The 24,466-nt window shown below is 39.4% G+C and overlaps 1 long non-coding RNA gene and 7 pseudogenes across 1 annotated transcript, besides 2 other annotated features; 7 read left to right on the top strand and 1 right to left on the bottom strand.

The window, feature by feature from the left end:
- On the top strand, window positions 5,662–6,250 carry MTCO1P21 (MT-CO1 pseudogene 21; annotated as a pseudogene).
- MTCO2P21 (MT-CO2 pseudogene 21) lies at window positions 6,395–7,349 on the top strand (annotated as a pseudogene).
- MTATP6P13 (MT-ATP6 pseudogene 13) lies at window positions 7,892–8,558 on the top strand (annotated as a pseudogene).
- Window positions 8,579–9,221, top strand: MTCO3P21 (MT-CO3 pseudogene 21; annotated as a pseudogene).
- Window positions 9,248–9,578, top strand: MTND3P21 (MT-ND3 pseudogene 21; annotated as a pseudogene).
- On the top strand, window positions 10,407–11,389 carry MTND4P11 (MT-ND4 pseudogene 11; annotated as a pseudogene).
- CHCHD2P5 (coiled-coil-helix-coiled-coil-helix domain containing 2 pseudogene 5) lies at window positions 12,295–12,695 on the top strand (annotated as a pseudogene).
- LOC124904221 (uncharacterized) lies at window positions 14,366–24,372 on the bottom strand. Its single transcript, XR_007066230.1, has 2 exons — window positions 23,810–24,372; window positions 14,366–14,635 (listed from the first exon to the last, which is right to left on the bottom strand). It is a non-coding gene; the product is annotated as an uncharacterized LOC124904221 (long non-coding RNA).
- Window positions 24,011–24,170: an enhancer, noted in NCBI's record as "active region_1345". NCBI's record gives its function as "activates an Ori minimal core promoter by ATAC-STARR-seq in GM12878 lymphoblastoid cells {active_cell/tissue: GM12878}" and the evidence as "EXISTENCE:reporter gene assay evidence [ECO:0000049][PMID:35858748]".
- Window positions 24,211–24,450: a silencer, noted in NCBI's record as "silent region_1091". NCBI's record gives its function as "represses an Ori minimal core promoter by ATAC-STARR-seq in GM12878 lymphoblastoid cells {active_cell/tissue: GM12878}" and the evidence as "EXISTENCE:reporter gene assay evidence [ECO:0000049][PMID:35858748]".

Below are 24,466 nucleotides of genomic sequence, written 5' to 3'. Positions count from 1 at the left end.
CCATTTTACCTTACTGTCTACATTCATTAATCTTGACAAACCACAAAGGTATTAACACACTGCATTTACTATTTGATGCTTGAGCTGGAATAGTAGAAACTTTCCTAAATCTTTTAATTTGAACTGAAATGGGTCAATCAGTGGCCCTGATAGTTGATGATCAAATTTTATAATGTCATCATCACTGCCTATGTGCTGGTAATAATGTTTTTTATTTATTTATTTTTATTATTTTTCCATAGGTTACTGGGGTACAGGTGGTGTTTGGTTACATGAGTTTTTTTTTTTCGTTTGTTTGTTTTTTGTTTTTTGACACGGAGTTTTGCTCTCGTCGCTCAGGCTGGAGTGCAATGGCGTGATCTCAGCTCACTGCAACCTCTGCCTCCCGGGTTCGAGCGATTCTCCTGCCTCAGCCTCCCAAGTAGCTGGGATTACAGGGATGTGACACCACGCCCGGCTAATTTTTATATTTTTAGTAGAGATGGGGTTTCACCACGTTGGCTAGGCTGGTCTCAAACTCTTGACCTCAGGTGATTCATCCACCTCAGCCTCCCAAAGTGCTGAGATTACAGGCGTGAGCCACCACACCCAGCAGTTTATATGAGTAAGTTCTTTAATGGTGATTTGTGAGATTTTGGTGCACCCATCATCTGAGTAGTATACACTGCACCCTATTTGTAGTCTTTTATCCCTCGCCCCCACACTCCCACTCTTACCCCCAAGTCCCCAAAGTCCATTGTATCATTCTTATGCCTTTGTGTCCTCATAGCTTAGCTCCTACATATCAGTGAGAACATAACGATGTTTGGTTTTCCATTCCTGAGTTACTTCATTTAGAATAATAATCTCCAATCTCATCCAGGTTGCTGGGAATGCCATTAATTCATTCCTTTTTATGGCTGAGTAGTATTCCATCATATATATATATATATATATATATATATATATATATATATATCTCACAGTTTATCCACTCATTATTGATTGATGGGCATTTGGGTTGGTTCCACGATTTTGCAATTGCAAATTGCTGCTATAAACATGTGTGTGCAAGTATCTTTTTCATATAATGACTTCTTTTCCTCTGGGTATATACCCAGTAGTGGGATTACTGGATCAAATGGTAGTTCTACTTTTAGTTCTTTAGGGGATCTCCACACTGTTTTCCACAGTGGCTGTTACAGTTTACATTCCCACAAACAGTGTGTAAGTGTCCCCTGATTACTGCATCCATGCCAACATCTGCTTTTTTAAATTTTTTGATTACGGCTATTCTTGCAGGAGTAAGGTGGTATCGCATTGTGGTTTTGATTTGCATTTCCCAGATCACTGGTGATGTTGAGCATCTTTTCATATGTTTGTTGGCCATTTGCATATCTTCTTTTGAAGATTGCCTATTCGTGTCCTTAGCCCACTTTTTGATGGGATATTTTTTTCTTGCCAATTTGTTTGACTTTGTTGTAGATTCTGGATATTAGTCCTTTGTCAGATGCGTAGACAGTGAAGATTTTTCTCCCATTCCGTGGGTTGTCTGTTTATTCTGCTGACTGTTCCTTTTGCCATGCAAAAGCTCTTCAGTTTAATTAAGTCCCAGCTATTTATATTTCTTTTTATTGCATTTGCTTTTGGGTTCTTGGTCATGAAATCCTTGCCTAAGCCAATGTCTAGAAGGGTTTTTCCAAGGTTATCCTCTATATTTTTTACAGTTTCAGGTCTTAGATTTAAGTCCTTAATCCATCTTGAGTTGATTTTTGTATAAGGTGAGGGATGAGGATCCAGTTTCATTCTCCTACATGTGACTAGCCAATTATCCCAGCACTATTTGTTGAAAAGAGAGTCCTTTCCCCACCTTATGTTTTTGTTTGCTTTGTCAAAGATTAGTTGGCTGTAAGTATTTGGGTGTATTTCCAGATTCTCTATTCTGTTCCATTGGTCTATGTGCCTATTTTTATACCAGTACCATGCTGTTTTGGTGACTATGGCCTTATAGTATAGTTTGAAATCAGGTAGTATGATGCCTCCAGATTTGTTCTTTTTGCTTAATCTTGCTTTGGTTATGCAAGCTCTTTTTTGGTTCCATATGAATTTTAGAATTGTTTTTCTAATTCTGTGAAGAATGATGGTGGTATTTTGATGGGGATTACATTGAATTTGTAGATTGCTTTTGGGAGTATGGTCATTTTTACAATATTGAGTCTATTCATTTACAAGCATGGGATGTGTTTCCATTTGTTTGTGTCATCTACAATTTATTTCAGCAATGTTTTGTAGTTTTCCTTGTAGAGGTCTTTCACCTCCTTGGTTAGGTATATTCCTAAGTATTTTATTTTATTTTTTGCAGCTATTGTAAAAAGGGTTGAGTTCTTGATTTGATTCTCTGCTTGGTCACTGTTGGTATATAGAAGAGCTACTGATTTGTGTACATTAATCTTGTATCCAGAAACTTTGCTGAATTATTTTATCAGTTCTAGGAGCTTTCTGGAGGAGTCTTTAGGGTTTTCGAGATAAATTATCATATCGTCAGGAAACAGTGATAGTTTGACTTTCTCTTTACCAATTTGGATGCCCTTTATTTCTTTCTCTTGTCTGATTGCTCTGGCTAGGACTTCCATTACTATGTTGAAGAGGAGTGGTGAGAGTGGGCATCCTTATCTTGTTCCAGTTCTCAGAGGGAATGCTTTTTGATTTTTCCCCATTCAGTATTATGTTGGCTGTGGATTTGTCATAGATGGCTTTTATTACATTGAGGTATGTCCCTTGTATGCCGATTTTGCTGAGAGTTTTAATCATAAAGGGATGCTGGATTTTGTCAGATGCTTTTTCTGTATCTATTGAGATGATCATGTGATTTTTGTTTTTAATTCTGTTTATGTGGTGTATCACATTTATTGACTCGTGTATGTTAAACCATCCCTGCATCCCTGGTATGAAACCCACTTGATCATGGTGGATTATCTTTTTGATATGTTGTTGGATTCAGTTAGCTAGTATTTTGTTAAAGATTTTAGCAACTATGTTCATTAGGGATATTGGTCTGTAGCTTTCTTTTTTGGTTATGTACTTTCCTAGTTTTGGTATTAGGGTAATGCTGGCTTCATAGAATGAATTAAGGAAGGTTCCCACTTTTTCTATCTTGTGGAGTACTGTCAATAGGATTGGTAACAATTCTTCTTTGAATGTCTGGTAGAATTCTGCTGTGAATCCACCTGGTCTCGGACTTTTTTTTGTTCGTTATTTTTTAATTACCATTTCAATCTTGCTGCTTGTTCTTGGTCTGTTCAGGGTATCTAATTCTTCCTGACTTAAGCTAGGAGGGTTGTATTTTTCCAGGAATTTATCAATCTCTTCTAGGTTTTCTAGTTTATGCACATAAAGGTGTTCGTAGTAGCACTGAATGATCTTTCGTGTTTCTATGGTGTCAGTTGTAATATCTCCTGTTTCATTTCTTATTGAGGTTATTTGGATTTTCTCTCCTCTTTTCTTGGTTAATCTTGCTAATGGTCTATCAATTTTATTTTTCTTTTCAAAGAACTAGCTTTTGTTTCATTTATCTTTTGTATTTTTTGTTGTTGTTGTTTCAATTTCATTTAGTTCTGCTCTGATCTTGGTTATTTCCTTTCTTCTGCTGGTTTCTTGTTTCTCTAGTTCCTTGAAGTGTGACCTTAGAATGTCAGTTTGTGCTCTTTCAGTCTTTGTGATGTAGGCGTTTAGGGCTATGAACTTTGCTCTTAGCACTGCCTTTGCTGTATCCCAGAGGTTTTGATAGGTTGTGTCACTATTGTCATTCAGTTCAAAGAATTTTTAAATCTCCATCTTGATTTCATTTTTGACCCAATGATCATTCAGGAGCAGGTTATTAATTTCCATGTATTTGCATGGTTTTGATGGTTCCTTTTGGAGTCGATTTCCAGTTTTATTCCACTGTGGTCTGACAGACTGCTTGATATAATTTCACTTTTCTTAAATTTATTGAGGCTCGTTTTGTGACCTGTCATATAGTCTATCTTGGAGAATGTTCCATGCACTGTTGAATAGATTGTGTATTCTGCAGTTGTTGGATGGAGTGTTCTGTATATATCCTTTAAGTCCATTTGTTCCAAGGTATAGTTTAAATCCATTGTTTCTTTGTTGACTTTCTGAATTGATGACCTGTCTAGTGCTGTCAGTGGAGTATTGAAGTCCCCTGCTATTATTGTGTTGCTGTCTATCTCATTTCTTACATCTATTAGTAATTGTTTCATAAATTTGGGAGCTCCAGTGTTAGGTGCATATATGTTTAGGATTGTGATATTTTCCTGTTGGTCAAGGCCTTTTACCATTATATAATGTCCCTCTTTATCTTTTTTAACTGCTGTTGCTTTAAAGTTTGTTTTGTCCGATGTAAGAATAGCTACTCCTGCTTGCTTTTGGTGTCCATTTGCATGAAATGCCTTTTTCCACCCCTTAACTTTAAGTTTATGTGAGTCCTTATGTGTTAGGTGAGTCTCTTGAAGGCAGCAGATAGTTGGTTGGTGAATTATTATCCATTCTGCAGTTCTGTGTCTTTTAAGTGGAGCATTTAGGCATTTAGGCCATTTACATTGAATGTTAGTACTGAGATTTGAGGTACCATTTCATTCATTGTGCTATTTGTTACCTGTGTACCTTGGTTTTTTGGGTTTTTTTTTTTTTTTTGCCTTTTAAATTGTATTTTTCTTTTAGGTCCTGTGAGATTTATGATTTAAAGAGGTTCGTTTTGATGTGTTTCCAGGATTTGTTTCAAGATTTAGAGTTCCTTTTAGCAATTCTCGTAGTGGTGGCTTGGTAGTGGTGAATTCTCTCAGTATTTGTTTGTCTGAAAAAGACTGTCTTTCCTTATAGATGATGCTTAGTTTCACTGGATATGAAATTCTTAGCTGATAATTGTTTTTTTGAAAAGGCTGAAGATAGGGCCCCAATCTCTTCTAGATTGTAGGGTTTCTTCTGAGAAATCTGCTGTTAATCTGATAGGTTTTCCTTTATAGGTTACCCAGTGCATTCATCTCACAGTTCTTAAGATTCTTTCCTTCATCTTAACTTTAGATATCCTGATGACAATGTGCCTAGGCAATGATTTTTTGCGATGAATTTCCCAGTTGTTCTTTGTGCTTCTTGTATTTGGATGTCTAGGTCTCTAGCAAGGCTGGGCAAGTTTGCCTTGATTATTCCCCCAAATGTGTTTTCCAAACTTTTAGATTTCTCTTCTTCCTCAGGAATGCTGATTATTCTTAGGTTTGGTCATTTAACATAATCCCAGACTTCTTGGAGACTAAGTTCATATTTTCTTATTCTTTTTTCTTATAGTTCCTCAGGCTGTATAGGAAGCATAGCAGCTTCTGCTCAGCTTCTGGAGAGGCCTCAGGAAACTTACAGTCATGATGGAAAGCAAAGGGAAAGCAGGCATGTCTTCACACAGCCAGAGCAGGAGGAAGAGAGGGTAAGTGGGAGGTGCTGCACACTTTTAACCAACCAGATCTCATGAGAACTCTATCACAAGAATAGCATCAAAGGGATGGTGCTAAACCATTCACGAAGGATCCACTCCCATAATCCAATCACCTCCCACTAGGCCCCATTCTAACACTGGGGATTACAATTCAACATGAGATTTGGGTAGGGACACAAATCCAAACCATGTCACTATTCCCACAGGAGTTAAAGTATCTAGTTGACTAGCAACACTACATGGAGGTAATATTAAATGATCTCCAGCTGTATTTTGAGCCTTAGGCTGTATTTCTCTATTTATAGTTGAGGGCCTAATAGGAATTGTACTAGTTAACTCATCACTAGACATTGTTCTTTGTAGCACATATTATGTTGTAGCACATTTCTACTATGTTCTATCAACAGGAGCAGTTTTCATTATTATAGGAGGGTTTGTTCACTGATTCTCACAATTTTTAGGTTACACACTGAACCTGAGCCAAAATTCATTTTACAATTATATTTGTGCGTATAAACCTGACTTTCTGCAACATTTCCTTGGTTTATCCAGCATATCATAACAATAGTCTAATTATCCTGATGCATATACAACATGAAAAATCATCTTATCAATAGGCTCCTCTATTTCACTAACAGAATATTAAAAATTTTCATAATTTGAGAAGACTTTACTTCAAAATGAGAAGCCTCAGTAGTGGGGCTTTCATTACAAACTTTGAATGACCTTATGGCTGCCCACCCCCATATCATGCATTTGAAGAGCCTGCTTACGTAAAAGCTTAAGATAAGAAAGGGAGGAATCAAAATCACATAACCAATTTCAAGCCAGACCCATAACCACTAGGCTTTCTCAACAAGTGAGATATTAGTAAGAATACTAAATAACTTAGTTGAAGTTAACTTACAAGTTAAAATCCTTTATATCCTTATGGCATACCCATTCCAGTTAGGCTTCAAGATGCAGCATTACCTATTACAGAAGAACTTTTGCATTTCCATGATCACGCTTTAATAATTATATTTTTAGTTATCCCTTTATTTCTTTACATTATTTTATTAACAATTAAACTAACCCACACAAGTACTATGGATGTTTAAGAAGTAGAGAGAACATAAACTTTTTTTTTTTTTAAGACAGAGTTTCACTCTTGGTTGCCCAGGCTGGAGTGCAATCTCGGATCACTGCAACCTCCACCTCCAGGTTCAAGTGATTCTCCTGCCTCAGCCTCCCAAGTAGCTGGGATTACAGGTATTTTTAGTAGAGATGGGGTTTTGCCATGTTGACCAGGCTGGTCTTGAACTCCTGACCTTAGGTGATCCGCCCACCTCGGCCTCCCAAAGTGCTGGGATTACAAGCATGAGCCACCGTGCCCGGCTGATATGACCTATTTTACCCACTATTATTTTAATCCTAATTGCTTTACCATCTTTACAAATCCTATTAATATACATAATGGATGTAATTAGTAACTCCTCCCTAACTATAAAAACTATAGTCCATCAATGATACTGAAGTTATGAATACACACATTACAAAGACCTAATTTTGATTCCTACATAATCCCTATAACAAATCTAAACCAGGAGAAGTACCACTACTCAATGTTGATAATTGAGTAGTCCTGCCTATAGAAATATCAACTCATATACTAATCTTCTCTAAAAATATCCTACACTCATTACATTTATGAGCTGTTCCATCATTAGGATTAAAAACAGACACATTTTCAGGACGTTTAAATCAAGCAACTCTAACACCCACACAACCAGACCTGTATTATGGACAATGCTCAGAAATTTGTGGATCAAATCACAGCTTTATACCCATAGTACTTGAATTAGTTCCACCAAAACACTTTGAAAACTGATCATCTGTTATAATGTCATTGTGTGAAGCTAAATAACCTTAATATTTTAAGTTCAAGACTGAGAGTATTAATGTCTTCATAATGAAATGCTATGACTAGACACATCAACATGATTTATCAGTTTTTTTTTCTTTTGTAGACAGGATCTTGCTGTGTTGCCCAGGCTGGAGTGCAGTGGCACAATCAGGACTCACTGCAGCCTCAACATCCTGGGCTCAAGAGATCCTCATTTCAGCCAGCTGAGTGGCTGGGACTATAGACGTGTGCCACCATGCCTGGCTAATTTTTTAATTTTTTTGTAGAGATGGGCATCTCACTATGTTGCCCAGCCTGATCTCGAACTCCTAAGCTGAAGTGGTCCTCCTGCCTCAGTCTCCCAAAGTGCTAGGATTACAGGCATGAGCTACCACTGTGCCCTGCCGATTTATCACCCTTGTTTCAATATTTCTAGTACTATATATTCTATCTCAATTAAAAATTTTGAACTATATTTATTCTTTAAATCCATCACCAAAGAACATCAAAGCATCAAAACACTAGATCCCTTGAGGAAAAAAAGTGAACAAAAATTTATTCACTTCTTTCACTACCCCTACAATAACAGGACTACCTATTGTTATTCTAATCATTTCATTTCTAAATATCATGTTTCCTGCCCCCAATCACCTAATCAATAATCTATTGAACAGTCTCTGTTCAACAGTAATTCGTGCAACTCATACTAAAACAATAACAATACATAATATCAAAGAACACATTTGATCTCTAATATTAATTTCACTTATTTATCAGCTAAACAAATTCACTAGGATTATTACCCCACTCACTCCCACCAGCCACCCAATTATCAGAAAATCTAGGTATAACTATCCCACTATCAGCAGGAGCAGTAATTACCTGCTTTCACCACAAAACAAAGCATTATTAATGGCTCACTTCCTACCACAAGGAACACCTTTCCACTTATCCCCATGCTAGTTATTATTGAAACTATAATATTAGCCTTTTTATTCAACCCACGGCCCTAGCAGTACAATTAACAGCCAACATTACAGTGGCTATCTACCATATGCTTAATCAGTGGAGCCACCTTAATCCTAATATCCATTTGCCCGGCAACAGCCTTAGTTACATTTCTCATTACTTATCACTCCTGAATTTACGGTTGCCCTAATTCAGGCTAACATCTTCAAGCTTCTAGTTAGGCTTTACCTAGATGATAATGCTTAGTCACCCACCAGACCAGCTCTTGATCACTTATCAGTTCTGCTCATAGCATTTAGTAGTATAATTTCACTTTAGTTCAATTCTTTTACTATCCTTAGTTGTACTAACTGATACATTAACCGTATATCAATGATAACAAAATGTAGTCAAAGAAAACACATTTCAAAGCCACCACACATTAATTGTTCAAAAAGGCCTGTGATACAAAATGATTCTCTTTATTGTATCAATGTAATTATTGGTGTCACCATTTTTATCATTTCCTTCTTATGTCAATCGCAATTCCTTTTCTTTTATTTAAGACAGAGTCTCACTCTGTCTTCCAGGTTGGAGTGCAGTGGCGTGATCTTGGCTCACTGCAGCCTTGACCTCCCGGACTCAAGTGATCCTCCCACATCCACCCCCTCAGTAGCTGGGACTACAGGCATGGACCACCATGGCCAGCTAATTTTTGTATTTTTTGTAGAGATGAGGTCTCCCTATATTGCCCAGGCTAATTGCAATTTCACTTCTTCACATCTAATCACCCATTCAGATGTGCTGCTGCTGCCTGAGAGTGACATTTTGTAAATGTAGTCTGACTATTTGTATACATCTCTGTTTATTGATGAGGATCCTATTTTAGTATTAATCAGCACAATTGGCCTCCAATAAATTAACTTCAGTATCAACCTGAAAAAGAATAATCAATCTTACATTAACCTTATTAACTAATACATTACTAGCACTACTGCTTATCATCATTGCATTCTGATTACCACAATTAAATATCTATACAGAAAAATCAAGGATATACAAATGCAGATTTGATCCAACAGCATCTGCCCAGCTATGATTTGCCATAAAATTTTTCTTAGTAGCTATAGCTTTCTGATTATTCAATCTAGAAATCCCCTCTAATTACCATTACCATGAGCATCTCAAATAAACAACTCAAAACTCATACTCATTATGGCACTAATTTTAATCCTTATCCTATCCCCAGGCCTAGTTTATGAATGGATGCAAAAAGGACTAGAATTAATTAAATATGGTTTTTAGTTTAAATTAAAACAAACAATTTCAACCCATTAAATTATATTTCATAATTACCAATATACCTTCATTTATATTAACATTATTCTAGCTTATATTGCATACTTAATACAGCTTTCAGTATACCAGTCACACCTATTTTCATTATTATGTTTCGAAGGCATAATGTTATGATTATTTATTGTAAAATTCTAATTTTTTGTTTTTTGTTTTGTTTCATTACAATTTTTTGTTTGTTTTTTGTTTTGTTTTGTTTCAGACAGAGCCTCACTATGTTGCCTAGGCTGGACTCAAACTCCTGGGCTCAACCTATCCTCTCAGCTCAGCCTCCTGTGTGGCTGGAATTTACAGATACATGCCACTGCATCTGGCCATAATTTTAAATATTTATCTTATCCCACCCCATCCAAGTCCAACTTGACTACTTTCCCTAATAATTATAAGAAATCAACACCATCTCTCAAAAAAATCAGATACATGAAAAAAACTATATTTCTCAGTATTAATTTTTCTTTTCTTTTTTTTTTTTTTTTTTTTCCAGACAGGGTCTCACTCTGTCACCCAGGCTAGAGTGCAGTGATGTGATCACAGCTCATAGCAGCCTTCCCTGCCCGGGCGATCCTTCCACCTCAGCCACCTGAACAGCTGAGACCACAGGTGCGCACCACCACACCTGGCTATTTTTTCTGCATTTTTTGTAGACACAGGGTTTTGCCATGTTGCCCAGGTTGGTCTCTAACTCCTCAAGTGATTCTCCAGCTTCAGGCATCCCAAGGTGCTGTGATTACAGGCTTGAGCCGCCACACCCGGCCAATATTAATTTTTCTACGAATATTCTTAATCATGACATTTACTGCCATAGAACTAATTCTATTCTATATTCTCTTTGCAGCAACCCTAATCCCTACTCTAATCACTGTCACTTGATGAGGAGGCTGAAGAGAACAATTCAATGCAAGACTTTATTTCCTGTCCTACACACTGATTGGCTGTTCAACCCTACTCATAGCATTAATCTATATCCAAAATTCCTCAGACTCATTAATTTTTTTAAGAACCACTATTGAATTCAAACATGACCAAGCTCCTGATCTAATGTCTCCCATGATTAGCCTACATAATAGCATTCCTAGTAAAAATACCCCTTTACGGCCTCCACCTCTGACTACCAAAAGCGCATGTAGAAGCCCCAATTGCAGCCACATTACTAAAACTAGGAGGCTGTAGTATAAAATGAAATTTTGCAATTTTAAATCCACTAACAGAATACATAACCTAATCATTTCTTATATTATCCCTAGGAGGAACTATCGTAACAGCTCTATTTGTTTACACCAAACAAGACTTAAAATCAATCATTACCTGTTCATCCGTAAGTCTTGTAGCACTAGTAAAACTAGCCATTTTTATTCTAATGCCATGAAGTTTTACAGGAGCCACAGCCCTAATAATTGTCCGTGGCCTAATGTCATCAATGTTGCTGTGCCTCAAAAACCCAATCTATGAGCGAATCCATACTTGAACTATACTATTAGCTCTCAAACTACAAATATTACTGCCTTTAATAGCAACATGATGAGTACTGGCTAGCTAACTTATCTAGCCCTACCACCACTATGAACCTAATTGGAAAATTCTTTGTAGTTATAGCATTATTTTTGTGAGCTGGTTTTACCACTATCCTAATAGGACTTAATATACTAATTAGAGCCCTATATTTACCCTACATATTAAACACAATATGATGAGGAAAGTGTACATACCACATTAATAACATTAAGCCAGCTGGTCACGGTAGCTCATGCCTATAATCCCAGCACTTTGGGAGGCCAAGGCAAGTGGATCACCTGAGGTCAGGAGTTCCAGACCAGCCTGGCCAACATGGTGAAACACTGTCTCTACTAAAAATACAAAAATCAGCCAGGTGTGGTGGTAAACACCTGCAATCCCAGCTACTCAGGAGGCTGAGGAAGGAGAATAGCTTGAACCCGGGAGGTGGAGGTTGCAGTGAGTCGAGATTGCACCATTGCTCTCCAGCCTGGGCATCACAGCGAGACTCCTCAAAAAAACAAACAAAACAAAACAAAACAAAACATTAAACCATCATTCACACGAGAAAAATATTCTAATACTTATATATTTCTTCTCCTATCACAACCCCCAAACTATTCTAGTACCCATATATTATAAATATTGTTAAACAAAACATTATATTGTGACTAAAACAACAGAAGCCTAAAACTCCTTATTTACTGAGAAAGTAAGCAAAAACTACTAACTCATGCCTCCATGTAGAATAATATTGTTTTTCAACTTTTAAAGCATAGAAATAATCCGCTGGAGTTAGGAGCTAAAAAAATGAGTGTAACTCCAAATAAAAGCAATAAATTTGTTCTCTTCTTCTATCATAACTTCACTTACCATCTTAATTACTAACATTTCCTAAGATACCTCTTATCCTCACTACATAAAAACTATTTCATATGCTTTTGCTATGAGTCTAATTCCAATCCTAATATTCATCTATTCAGGCCAAGAAATAACTATTTCAAACTCACCCTGGATGATTATTCAAATCTTAAAACTGACACTCAGACAGAGGTCCACACTTCTAGAGGTAAAGTTACCACACACACTTACGATGCTTGCAGAAGTCAAAGCACCTTCCTCATGGTTGCCTGGGCCAGTTGGGCGTCTCCAGCAGGTACCTCAGATGAGAAGTGCACCCAGGCCAGCACTAGCAGCAGCCCCATCATCTGCAGTTGGCTCACCTGCTGCTGTACCCCACAGCCAGGTCTGATGACCCAAATGACAACTGCTGCAGCTGGCATGGCTGTCAGGCTGTCAGGCACATACTGGGTCAGGCCATCACTGGGAGCTTCAGAAGAGTAAGTAATGCTGAGCCCTCAAAGCCTAACATCTCTAAGTAGGGCCCTCAGAAACCCAGCTGGCACAGCAGCAGCAACAGCAGCAGCAGTTTCGCCCTTGCTTCTATGAGATAAACAGTTTTTAGAGTGTGCGCAGAACCAGGGTGACATAAAGCTCTGTGAGGGTTTCACTAAGGTGTTGAAACAGTGCAGACTTGCAGGTGAATTAGCCTAGTCAAAAAGTTCAGATTGAAGAAATGAAAAATCAGCTCACCTCACCAAGATAATTTAGCATAAAAATATAGTTGATAATAAAAGTATAAAGTGCAAAACCATCAGTTAAACTTCTCTTTCATTAATAGCTTCCTTGCTTCAGAATTGCAATGGAAAAGAGCATTCTTACTGTATACAAGTTCACTGAGATGGTATAGAATTTCGGGCTGGGCAAATGTTTGTGTGGCCTCCTTAAACCTGCCATTGTGGTGTTACTGTTTGCGGAGTTAGTTGGAATAACGTGATTTTCTTTAAAAAAAAAAAAAAAATTGTAGAGAGGAGGCCTCACTATGTTGCCCAGGCTGGTCTCCAACTCCTGGGCTCAAGTGATCCTCCTGCCTCGGCCTTCCAAAGTGCTCACTTACATGTATGAGTCACTGCACCTGGTCGTGATTTTCTTAAAAAAAAAAAAAAAAAAAAAAAAAAAAGACACTCATCCCCAAGTTACATTACTTCTCAATGATATCTGTACTAGTAGCACTCTTCATCACATGGTCAATCATAGAATTTTCAATGTGGGCAGGGCACGGTGGCTCACGCCTGTAATCCCAGCACTTTGGGAGGCCAAGGTGGGCGGATCACCTGAAGTCAGGAGTTCAAAACCAGCCTGGCCAACATGGTGAAACCCCATCTCTACTAAAGATACAAAAATTAGCCAGGCATGGTGGTGCATGCCTGTAGTCCTAGCTACTTGGGAGGCTGAGGCAAGAGAATCGCTCAAACTTGGGAGGTGGAGGTTGCAGTGAGCCGAGATCGCACCACTGTACTCTAGACCGAGCAACAGAGTGAGACTCTGTCTCAAAAAAAAAAGAAAGAATTTTCAATGTGATGTATACATTTAGACCCAAATATTGACTCTTTAAATATCTACTTGTATTTTTCATCACTATACAAATTTTAGTTACTGCCAACAACCTCTTCCATCAGCAGATGAGGAGTAGGAATTGTATCATTTTTAGTTAGCAGATGATGATGATGACACAGACAAACAGATGCAAATACAGCAGCCCTCCAGGCAATCTTACATAACAGTATTGGATATTTTGGATTCATATTATCAATGGAATGATTTCTATTGTACTTGAACATATGAGAATTTTAACAAATTTTCTTGCTCAACCCCAACCCTGATATTCCCACTGGGACATTCTCCCATGGCTCCCTATTGAGAAAAGAAACTATTTTGCTTCGTCTAAGTAAATCCATGGTAACCTGATTCCCTCCTTCCCACTAACTAGGGCAAAACAAAGGCACCTGAGCTCTGTCTTGATTCATATTCACAGCCTGCATTCAGTGTGGGTCATGTTCTCACTAACCTATGTCTAGGTGATTACTAGAGTTTTCTCACTGGTCTCCTAGCATTGAGTCATTCTCCACTGCAATTTTACATACCACTTGCTGATTTGTTATATTTGTACTCCTTTTTCATAATAACCACCAGAGTATAATTTTACATTTACTATAATTATATGATTAAAATCTTTCTCTACCACTAGACTGTAAATTACATAAGAACAGGAACAATGTGTTTGCTCACTATGAATTTGCAGTGCCTAGCTCAGTACCTTAAGTATTAGACACTGGAGAAATATCTACTGAGTAAATGAATAGCATTTTAAAATATAGGGGTGTGGAGTTTTTTGCCAATTTATTACTTTGAGTCAAGACTCTACCTTACTCAAGTTTAAGAGGTTTCCCAGTGCCTCTCAGACCAAACCCAAAAGAGTCTTCTTGATAATGGTCCTCTGTTGCAACACCCACGTTCCCTTCACCTTTAAGGGGTACCACTGCTCCAGGAAGGTGCCGCTGTATCCAGTCTTCAGAACAAACTGTGGTAATTTCCACTCCTCTGCACTCGTTCATGTTCTATTCCAAACCATGGCTCTCTTCCTCCAAATCCTTAAGATGGTAACAGGTCATGACAGCTGTATTATTTTCAAGGGATTTAGGTTTCAGAAAAATCCTTTTAAAAATAGAACCTTCAGCTGGGTGTGGTGGCTCATGCCTATAATCCTAGCACTTTGGGAGGCTGAAGCGGGCGGATCACTTGAGGTCAGCTGTTCAAAACCAACCTGGCCAACATGGTGAAACCCCGTCTCTATTAAAAATACAAAAAAATTAGTCAGGCGTGGTGGTGCATGCCTGTAGTCCCAGCTACTCGGGAGGCTGAGGCAGGAGAATTGCTTGAACCCAGGATGCGGAGGTTGCAGTGAGCCGAGATTGCACCACTGTATTCCAGCCTGGGCGACACAGTGAGACTCTGTCTCAGAAAAAAAAAAAAAAAAAAAAAAGAACCTTCACCTCTAGATGGGGCAGGATCCATTTAGTGGCTTCTGAATATGGCAACATAAATGTAGCAGTTACACTCATTCCAGGAGTTAAAATTTGAGAATTTAAATCCATTTTACCTTATTAAGAATAAAATGCACCAGGTGGTCTCTTAATAAAGTAAAACTAATTTTAATTCATTTTGTTTGTCTTGATAAAGCAAAAAGACTATGAATAAAAATGTGATCACTTCTACAGCAATTAATTAATCTGTGAGACTTTTTTTTGCTGCCTGCTTTGTTCTAAACACTTAAAGCTTGTGAGCTCCTGTTGGGCTTCCAACAGTACATTATAATTTCAAAAGCGTTCTGTGATCAAATACATTGGGGAAACTGATGCAGGGTATTACAGGACACACAAGGAGACTGGTTTGTCTTGTTTTTATTTTTTTGAGACAGGGTCTTTCTCTGTCCCCCAGGATGGAGTGCAGTGACACAATCACAGCTCACTACAACCTCTGCCTCACAGGCTCAAGTGATCCTCCCACCTCAGCCTCCCAAATAACTGGGATGACAGACACGTGCCACAACATTTGGCTAATGTTTAAATTTTTTGTAGAGATGGGGTCTCTCTTATCGCCCAGGCTGGTTTTGAACTCCTGGACTCGAGCGATCCTCACACCTCAGCCTCCCCAAAATGCTGAGGTTACAGGTGTGAGCCATGGTGCCTGGCCTGGAAGAGTGGTTTTTTAAAGAAAAACATAAACAGTTGAATATCAGATCCTATAAATGTCAAGCATGAAAAAAAAAAGCAGTCAGTGTTAGTGACACTGTATTTATACAGCACTTGTAGAAGTGCTTTAAAGCACCTAAAAACAAAAATATATTCCCAAAGATAGAAATGTTATCAATATTATTTCTCTTTTCTAGACAGGAGAAAAATAACTTACTAAAAGTGACTACATAATCAATTTCTGATTTACATTCCCTGGTTTTTCCCCCAAAATAAGTTTAGAAGATTAAATTTCCCTCCCTAAGAACTGCGGTGTTATGGCAAGGGTATCATTAAGTACAATATGTAGTAAATTTAAGCCGTACAGGCATTAAAAACATATAAATCATGTATAAGCACATTCAAGAATTTAAATTATCTATAGTATGGAAGAGTAAAGAATTTGAAGTTGAAGGATCTAGGTTTTGATCGTGGCCACAATACTAATTACTAACTGAGATTTTCAACAAGTTACTTAACTGAGTTGCTGCGAAGAGCAAATGAGTTTACATATGCAAATCTTAAAAACATAACACGATGCCTGCCGTGAATTCATGTTATAAATTTACCAATATTGTGAGAACTGCATTGTAATGGGGAAACAGTAGGGGCATTAATAATAGGAGCTCTCACTTACTGGACATTTACTAAGGGCTTTTCATGCCTCTTCATCATTAACTCCTCACACCTGCCCAATGTGGTAAGTATTCTATTTGGTGGAACCATGGGACTTTCCATTTCTGTCGGTTAAAAATGGTCAATTATCACCGGACGTGGTGGCTCAGGCCTGTAATCCCAGCACTTTGGGAGGCCGAGGTGGGCGGATCATGAGGTCAGGAGATCGAGACCATCCTGGCTAACACTGTGAAACCCCGTCTCTACTAAAAATACAAAAAAAATTAGCCAGGCGTGGTGGCAGGCGCCTGTAGTCCCAGCTACTCTGGAGACTGAGGCAGGAGAATGGCATGAACCTGGGAGGTGGAGCTTGCAGTGAGCCAAGATCGCGCCACTGCACTCCAGCCTAGGCGACAGAGCAAGACTCTGTCTCAAAAAAAACAAACAAAAAAAAGGTCAATTATGAGCAATTTCATATGGTTCAAACTATCCTCTTGCTGGTTTAGAGAAACTGAAATACAGAGAGACTTGGGTAAGTAAGATAAAAGAGCCAGTGCCTGGTAAAAGTAAGGTTGGTAAGCCAATACCGGTTGATGTCAGCACCAACATTCTTGGCCAATATGTTATATAAGTTCCCAGCAAAGAGGCAAGTCTAATAGTTTAGGAGATGTAAACTCTAAGCTTTAATCAAGTATTGATTGCATGCTATCAGATAATATACAAACAATCAAGAAATGATGCCACAGCAAATTCAGCATATGAATCAAATGTACACATTAATTAAAGCAGCACAAGCGAAGATGGCTGAATAGGAACAGCTCAGGTCTGTAGCTCACAGCATGATCGACACCGAAGACAGGTGATTTCTGCATTTCCAACTGAGGTACCTGGTTCATCTCATTGGGACTGGTTGGACAGTGGGTGCAGCCCAAGGACGGCGAGCCAAAGCAGGGCGGGGTATCACCTCAACCAGGAAGCACAAGGGGTCAGTGGATTTTCCTTTCCTAGCCAAGGGAAGCTGTGACAGACTGTACTGGGAAAATTGGGACACTCCCATCTTAATGATGCACTTTTCCAATGGTCTTAGCAAATGGCACACCAGGAGATTATATCCCGCTCCTGGCTCAGCAGGTCCCACGCCCACAGAGCCTTGCTCACTGCTAGTGCCGCAGCTCCCAGATCTAACTGAGTGAAAGCCGGCAGCCTGGCTGCAGGGTGTTGCAGGGGCGGGGGGCGGTCTGCCATTGCTGAGGCTTGAGTAGGTAAACAAAGTGGCCTGGAAGCTCCAACTGGGTGGAGCCCACCACAGCTCAAGGAGGCCTGCCTGCCTCTGTAGACTCCACCTCTGGGAGCAAGGCATAGCTGAACAAAAGGCAGCAGAAACTTCTGCAGACTTAAACGTCCCTGTCTGACAGCTCTGAAGAGAACAGTGGTTCTCCCAACATGGTGTTTGAGCTCTGAGAATGGACGGACTGCCTCCTTAAGTGGGTCTGTGACCCCCATGTAGCCTAACTGGGAGACACCTCCCAGTGGGGACTGATTGACACCTCATACAGCCAGGCACCCCTCTGAGACGAAGCTTCCAGAGGAAGGATCAGGCAGCAATATTTGCTGTTCTGCAATATTTGCTTTTCTGCAGCCTCTGCTGGTGATACCCAGGCAAACAGGGTCTGCAGTGGACCTCCAGCAAACTCCAACAGACCTGCAGCTGAGGGACCTGACTCTTAGAAGGAAAACTAACGAACAGAAAGGGATAGCATCAATATCAACAAAAAGGACATCTATACCAAAACCCAATCTGTAGGTCGCCAGCATCAAAGACCAAAGGTAGATAAAACTACAAAGATGGGGAGAAACCAGAACAGAAAAGCTGAGAATTCTAAAAACCAGAGTGCCTCTTCTCCTCCAAAGGATTGCAGCTCCTCGCCAGCAATGGAACAAAGCTGGATGGAGAACAACTTTGATGAGTTGACAGAAATAGGCTTCAGAAGGTCGGTAATAACAAACTTCTCCGAGCTAAAGGAGGATGTTCAAACCCATTGCAAGGAAGCTAAAAACCTTAAAAAAAGATTAGATGAATGCCTAACTAGAATAAACAGTGTACAGAAGCACTTAAATGACTTGATGGAGCTGAAAACCATGGCACAAGAACTACCTGATGCATGCACAAGCTTCAGTAGCTGATTTGATCAACTGGAAGAAAGGGTATTAGTGATTGAAGATCAAATTAATGAAATGAAGCGAGAAGAGAAGTTTAGAGAAAAAAGAGTAAAAAGAAACTAACAAAGCCTCCAAGAAATATGGGACTATGTGAAAAGACCAAATCTACGTCTACGTCTGACTGGTGTACCTGAAAGTGACGGGGAGAATGGAACCAAGTTGGAAAACACTCTGCAGGATATTATCCAGGAGAACTTCCCCAACCTAGCAAGGCAGGCCAACATTCAAATTCAGGAAATACAGAGAACACCACAAAGATACTCCTCGAGAAGAGCAACCCCAAGACACATAATTGTTAGATTCACCAAGGTTGAAATGAAGGAAAAAATCTTAAGCGCAGCCAAGAGAGAAAGGTTGGGTTACCCACAAAGGGAAGCCCATCAGACTAACAACAGATCTCTTGGCAGAAACTCTACAAGCCAGAAGAGAGTGGGGGCCAATATTCAACATTCTCAAAAAAAAGAATTTTCAACCCAGAATTTCATATCCAGCCAAACTAAGCTTCATAAGTGAAGGAGAAATAAAATACTTTACAGACAAGCAAATGCTGAGAGATTCTGTCACCCCCAGGCCTACCTTACAAGAGCTCCTGAAGGAAGCACTAAACATGGAAAGGAACCATCAGTACCAGCCACTGCAAAAACATGCCAAATTGTAAAGACTATCGATGCTAGGAAGAAACTGCATCAACTAACGGGCAAAATAACCAGCTAACATCATAATGACAGGATCAAATTCACACATAACAATATTAACCTTAAATGTGAATGGGCTAAACGCCCCAATTAAAAGACAAAGACTGGCAAATTGGATAAAGAGTTAAGACCCATCAGTGTGCTGTAGTCAGGAAACCCATCTCATGCACAGACACACATAAGCTCAAAATAAAGGGATGGAGGAAGATCTACCAAGCAAATGGAAAGCAAAAAAAAGCAGGGGTTGCAATCCTAGTCTCTGATAAAACAGACTTTAAACCAACAAAGATCAAAAGAGACAAAGAAGGCCATTACATAGTGGTAAAGGGATCAATTCAACAAGAAGAGCTAACTATTCTAAATATATATGCACCCAATACAGGAGCGCCAATACAAAGAGACTTAGACTCCCACACAATAACAATGGGAGACTTTAACACCCGACTGTCAATATTGGATCAACGAGACAAAAAATTAACAAGGATATCCAGGAATTGAACTCAGCTCTGGACCAAGTGGACCTAATAGACATCTACAGGACTCTCCACCCCAAATCAACAGAATATACATTCTTCTCAGCACATCACACTTATTCTTAAACTGACGACGTAATTGGAAGTAAAACACTCCTCAGCAAATGTAAAAGAACAGAAATCACAACAAACTCTATCTCAGACCACAGTGCAATCAAATTAGAACTCAGGATTAAGAAACTCACTCAAAACTGCACAACTACATGGAAACTGAACAACCTGCTCCGAATGACTACTGGGTAAGTGAGGAAATGAAGGCAGAAATAAAGTTGTTCTTTGAAACCAATGAGAACAAAGACACAATGTACCAGAATCTCTGGGACACATTTAAAGCAGCGTGTAGAGGGAAATTTATAGCACTAAATGCCCACAAGAGAAAGCAGGAAAGATCTAAAATTGATGCCCTAACATCACAATTAAAAGAACTAGAAAAACAAGAGCAAACAAATTCAAAAGACAGCAGAAGACAAGAAATAACACAGATCAGAGCAGGACTGAAGGAGATAGAGACACAAAAAACTCTTCAAAAAGTCAATGAATCCAGGAGCCGGTTTTCTGAAAAGATCAACAAAATAGACTACTAGCAAGACTAATAAAGAAGAAAAGAGAGAAGAATAAAATAGATGCAATAAAAAATGATAAAGGGGATATCACCACTGATCCCACAGAAAATACAAACTACCATCAGAGAATACTATAAACACCTGAATAGACCAATAACAGGTTCTGAAATTGAGGCAATAATTAATAGCCTACCAACCAAAAAAAGTCCAGGACCAGACAGATTCACAGCCAAATTCTACCAGAGGTACAAAGAGGAGCTGGTACCATTCCTTCTGAAACTATTCCAATCAATAGAAAAAGAGGGAATCCTTCCTAACTCATTTTATGAAGCCAGCATCATCCTAATACCAAAGCCTGGCAAAGACACACACAAAAAAGAGAATTTTATACCAATATCCCTGATGAACATCAATGTGAAAATCCTCAATAAAATACTGGCAAACTGAATCCAGTAGCACATCAAAAAGCTTATCCACCACGATCAAGTTGGCTTCATCCCTGGGATGCAAGGCTGGTTCAACATACGCAAATCAATAAAAGTAATCCATCACATAAACAGAACGAAAGACAAAAACCACATGATTATCTCAATAGATGCAGAAAAGGCCTTTGACAAAATTCAACAGCCCTTCATGCTAAAAACTCTCAATAAACTCGGTATTCGTGGAATGTATCTCAAAATAATAAGAGCTATTTATGACAAACCCACAGCCAATATCATACTGAATGGGCAAAAACTGGAAGCATTCCCTTTGAAAACTGGCACAAGACAGGGATGCCCTCTCTCAACACTCCTATTCCACATAGTGTTGGAAGTTCTGGCCAGGGCAATCAGGCAAGAGAAAGAAATAAAGGGTATTCAGATAGGAAAAGAGGAAGTCAAATTGTCCCTGTTTGCAGATGACATGATTGTATATTTAGAAAACCCCATCATCTCAGCCCAAAATCTCCTTAAGCTGATAAGCAACTTCAGCAAAGTCTCAGGATACAAATTCAATGTGCAAAAATCACAAGCATTCCTCTACACCAATAACAGACAAACAGAGAGCCAAATCATGAGAGAACTGCCATTCACAATTGCTTTGAAAAGAATAAAATACCTAGGAATCCATCTTACAAGGGATGAGACGGACCTCTTCAAGGAGAACTACAAACCACTGCTCAACAAAATAAAAGAGGACACAAACAAACGGAAGAACATTCCATGCTCATGGATAGGAAGAAACAATAGTGTGAAAATGGCCATACTGCCCAAGGTAATTTATAGATTCAATGCCATCCCCATCAAGCTACCAATGACTTTCTTCACAGAATGGGAAAAAACTACTTTAAAGTTCATATGGAACCAAAAAAGAGCCTGCATTGCCAAGACAATCCTAAGCAAAAAGAACAAAGCTGGAGGCATCATGCTACCTGACTTCAAACCATACTACAAGGCTACAGTAACCAAAACAGCATGGTACAAAAGAGAGATACAGACCAATGGAACAGAATAGAGGCCTCAGAAATAACACCACACATCTACAACCATCTGATCTTTGACAAACCTGACAAAAACAAGAAATGGGGAAAGGATTCCCTATTTAATAAATGGTGCTGGGGAAATTGGCTAGCCATATGTAGAAAGCTGAAACTGGATCCCTTCCTTACACCTTATACAAAAATTAATTCAAGATGGATTAAAGACTTAAATGTTATACCTAAAACCATAAAAACCCTAGAAGAAAACCTAGGAAATACCACTCAGGACATAGGCATGGGCAAGGACTTCATGACTAAAACACCAAAAGCAATGGCAACAAAAGCCAAAATAGACAAATGGGATCTAATTAAACTAAAGAGCTTCTGCACAGCAAAAGAAACTACCATCAGAGTGAACAGGCAACCTACAGAATGGGAGAAAATTTTTGCAATCTACCCATCTGACAAAGGGCTAATATCCAGAATCTACAAAGAACTTAAATTTACAAGAAAAAATCAAACAACCCCATCAAAAAGTGGGCAAAGTATATGAACAGACACTTTTCAAAAGAAGACATTTATGCAGCCAACAGACACATGAAAAAATGCTTATCATCACTGGTCATCAGAGAAATGCAAATCAAAACCATAATGAGATACCATCTCACACCAGTTAGAATGGCAATCATTAAAAAGTCAGGAAACAACAGGTGCTGGAGAGGATGTGGAGAACTAGGAACACTTTTACACTGTCAGTGGTAGTGTAAACTAGTTCAACATTGTGGAAGACAGTGTGGTGACTCCTCAAGGGCCTAGAACTAGAAATACCATTTGACCTAGCGATCTCATTACTGGGTATATACCCAAAGGATTATAAATCATGCTACTATAAAGACACATGCACAGGTATGTTTATTTTGGCACTATTCACAATAGCAAAGACTTGGAACCAACCCAAATGTCCATCAATGATAGACTGGATTAAGAAAATGTGGCACATACACACCATGGAATACTATGCAGCCATCAAAAAGGATGAGTTCATGTCCTTTGTAGGGAATGGATGAAGCTGGAAACCATCATTCTGAGCAAATTGTCGCAAGGACAGAAAACCAAACGCTGCATGTTCTCACTCATAGGTGGGAATTGAACCATGAGAACACTTGGACACAGGGTGGGAAACATCACACACTGGGGCCTGTCATGGGGTGGGGGGTTGGCGGAGGGATAGCATTAGGAGAAATACCTAATGTAAATAACGAATTAATGGGTGCAGCAAACCAACATGGCACTTGTATACATATGTAACAAACCTGCACATTGTGCACATGTACCCTAGAACTTAAAGTATTATAAAACAAAAAGTATAGACAAATCTTATTCAATCTTGAGTTCAGAAGATAGTTATATCGGGTTTCATTATAGTATTCTTGCTATTTTTGTATATGTTGGAATTATTTACAACAAATGTTAATTGTATGTTACAGTGCATCAAAATGTGTTTAAGTAGTGGTGGTGCTTGTGGGTAGCTCTTTCACTATAATAAAAAATCAATATCCAAAAAAAAAAAAAAAAAGCAGCGCAAGCTCGTTCAATGAACTCTTACCATCATTCATTCAGCCAACAAATATTTACTCAACATCAGGCTCAATTTCTAACTTCCTAGAAAGATCTTTTTTCCCATCCCTCCCCTAATTCTTACCATTTTACCAACTGGTTCATCTCTCTTTTCAATAGCTATATTGTCCCCGCTTATAATGAGAATCTCATTTTGCCTTTAATAATCTGATTCACCTCAACGAATGTGAAAGATTGTTGAGGAAAGCTCAATACATGTTCAATTTGATGTTTATACCGAGTCCACCACCACACGTGAAATTTAATAGGGGTAAATAATCTCGACCACCTCTAAAGGGGTGGGTGATAAAAGCTTTCTGTGATCTCACCGGCTCAAGTGTCCTCTTTAATCTGAATTCATCTGGAGAATAACTGCCCTATGATGTTCTTATAAAATTACTTGTTTCCTGTGCTTAGAACTTGTCTCTGGGTAGAGTGTACGCGTCTCAAGGGCAAAGACTCAGTCTTGTTCGTTGACTTCACACACTGCCAGCAAATAATGTGAATCAATAGACCTTTAACGGATGAAGAAAAATTAGCAGTTTGGGAGAAGGTCCTTGAAGGTAGCAAAGCGAAAAGAAGAAGGGGGCGCTTGCGCATAAACAGCTGCTTCTGAGAACGAAAACTACGTAGCATTTCCGAGTCCCGGTGGCCGCTCAGGCTGCCCTTTAAAGAGACGTGTAGGAAGCCCACCCTGGGGCGGCCGTGGGCGGAGCCGCGACCTGAACGCCGGGAGACCTCACCAGGCGGAGGCGGTGTCTACCTCACCAGGCGGAGGCGGTGTCTGCCTCGCGCTGTCCTCTGACCGCCAGGGGGAGCCCTGCCGCGCGCTGCGCTCCGGGCCGCGCCGCCACGCTCTCTCGACCCGCGCGCCCGCCGCGCACCACCCGTCGCCACGCCCGCCGCAGGCCAAGGGCCAGTCACTTGCGGGCCGGCGTCCCGCAGCCCATTCGCGCCCCGCCCCTGCCCCGCCGCGGGATGAGTAA

Source organism: Homo sapiens, chromosome 1, assembly GCF_000001405.40.
Source record: "Homo sapiens chromosome 1, GRCh38.p14 Primary Assembly".
Lineage (NCBI taxonomy): Eukaryota > Metazoa > Chordata > Mammalia > Primates > Hominidae > Homo > Homo sapiens.
The sequence above is the reverse complement of the archived record's forward strand: the minus strand, read 5'-3'. Positions and strand labels throughout refer to the sequence as shown.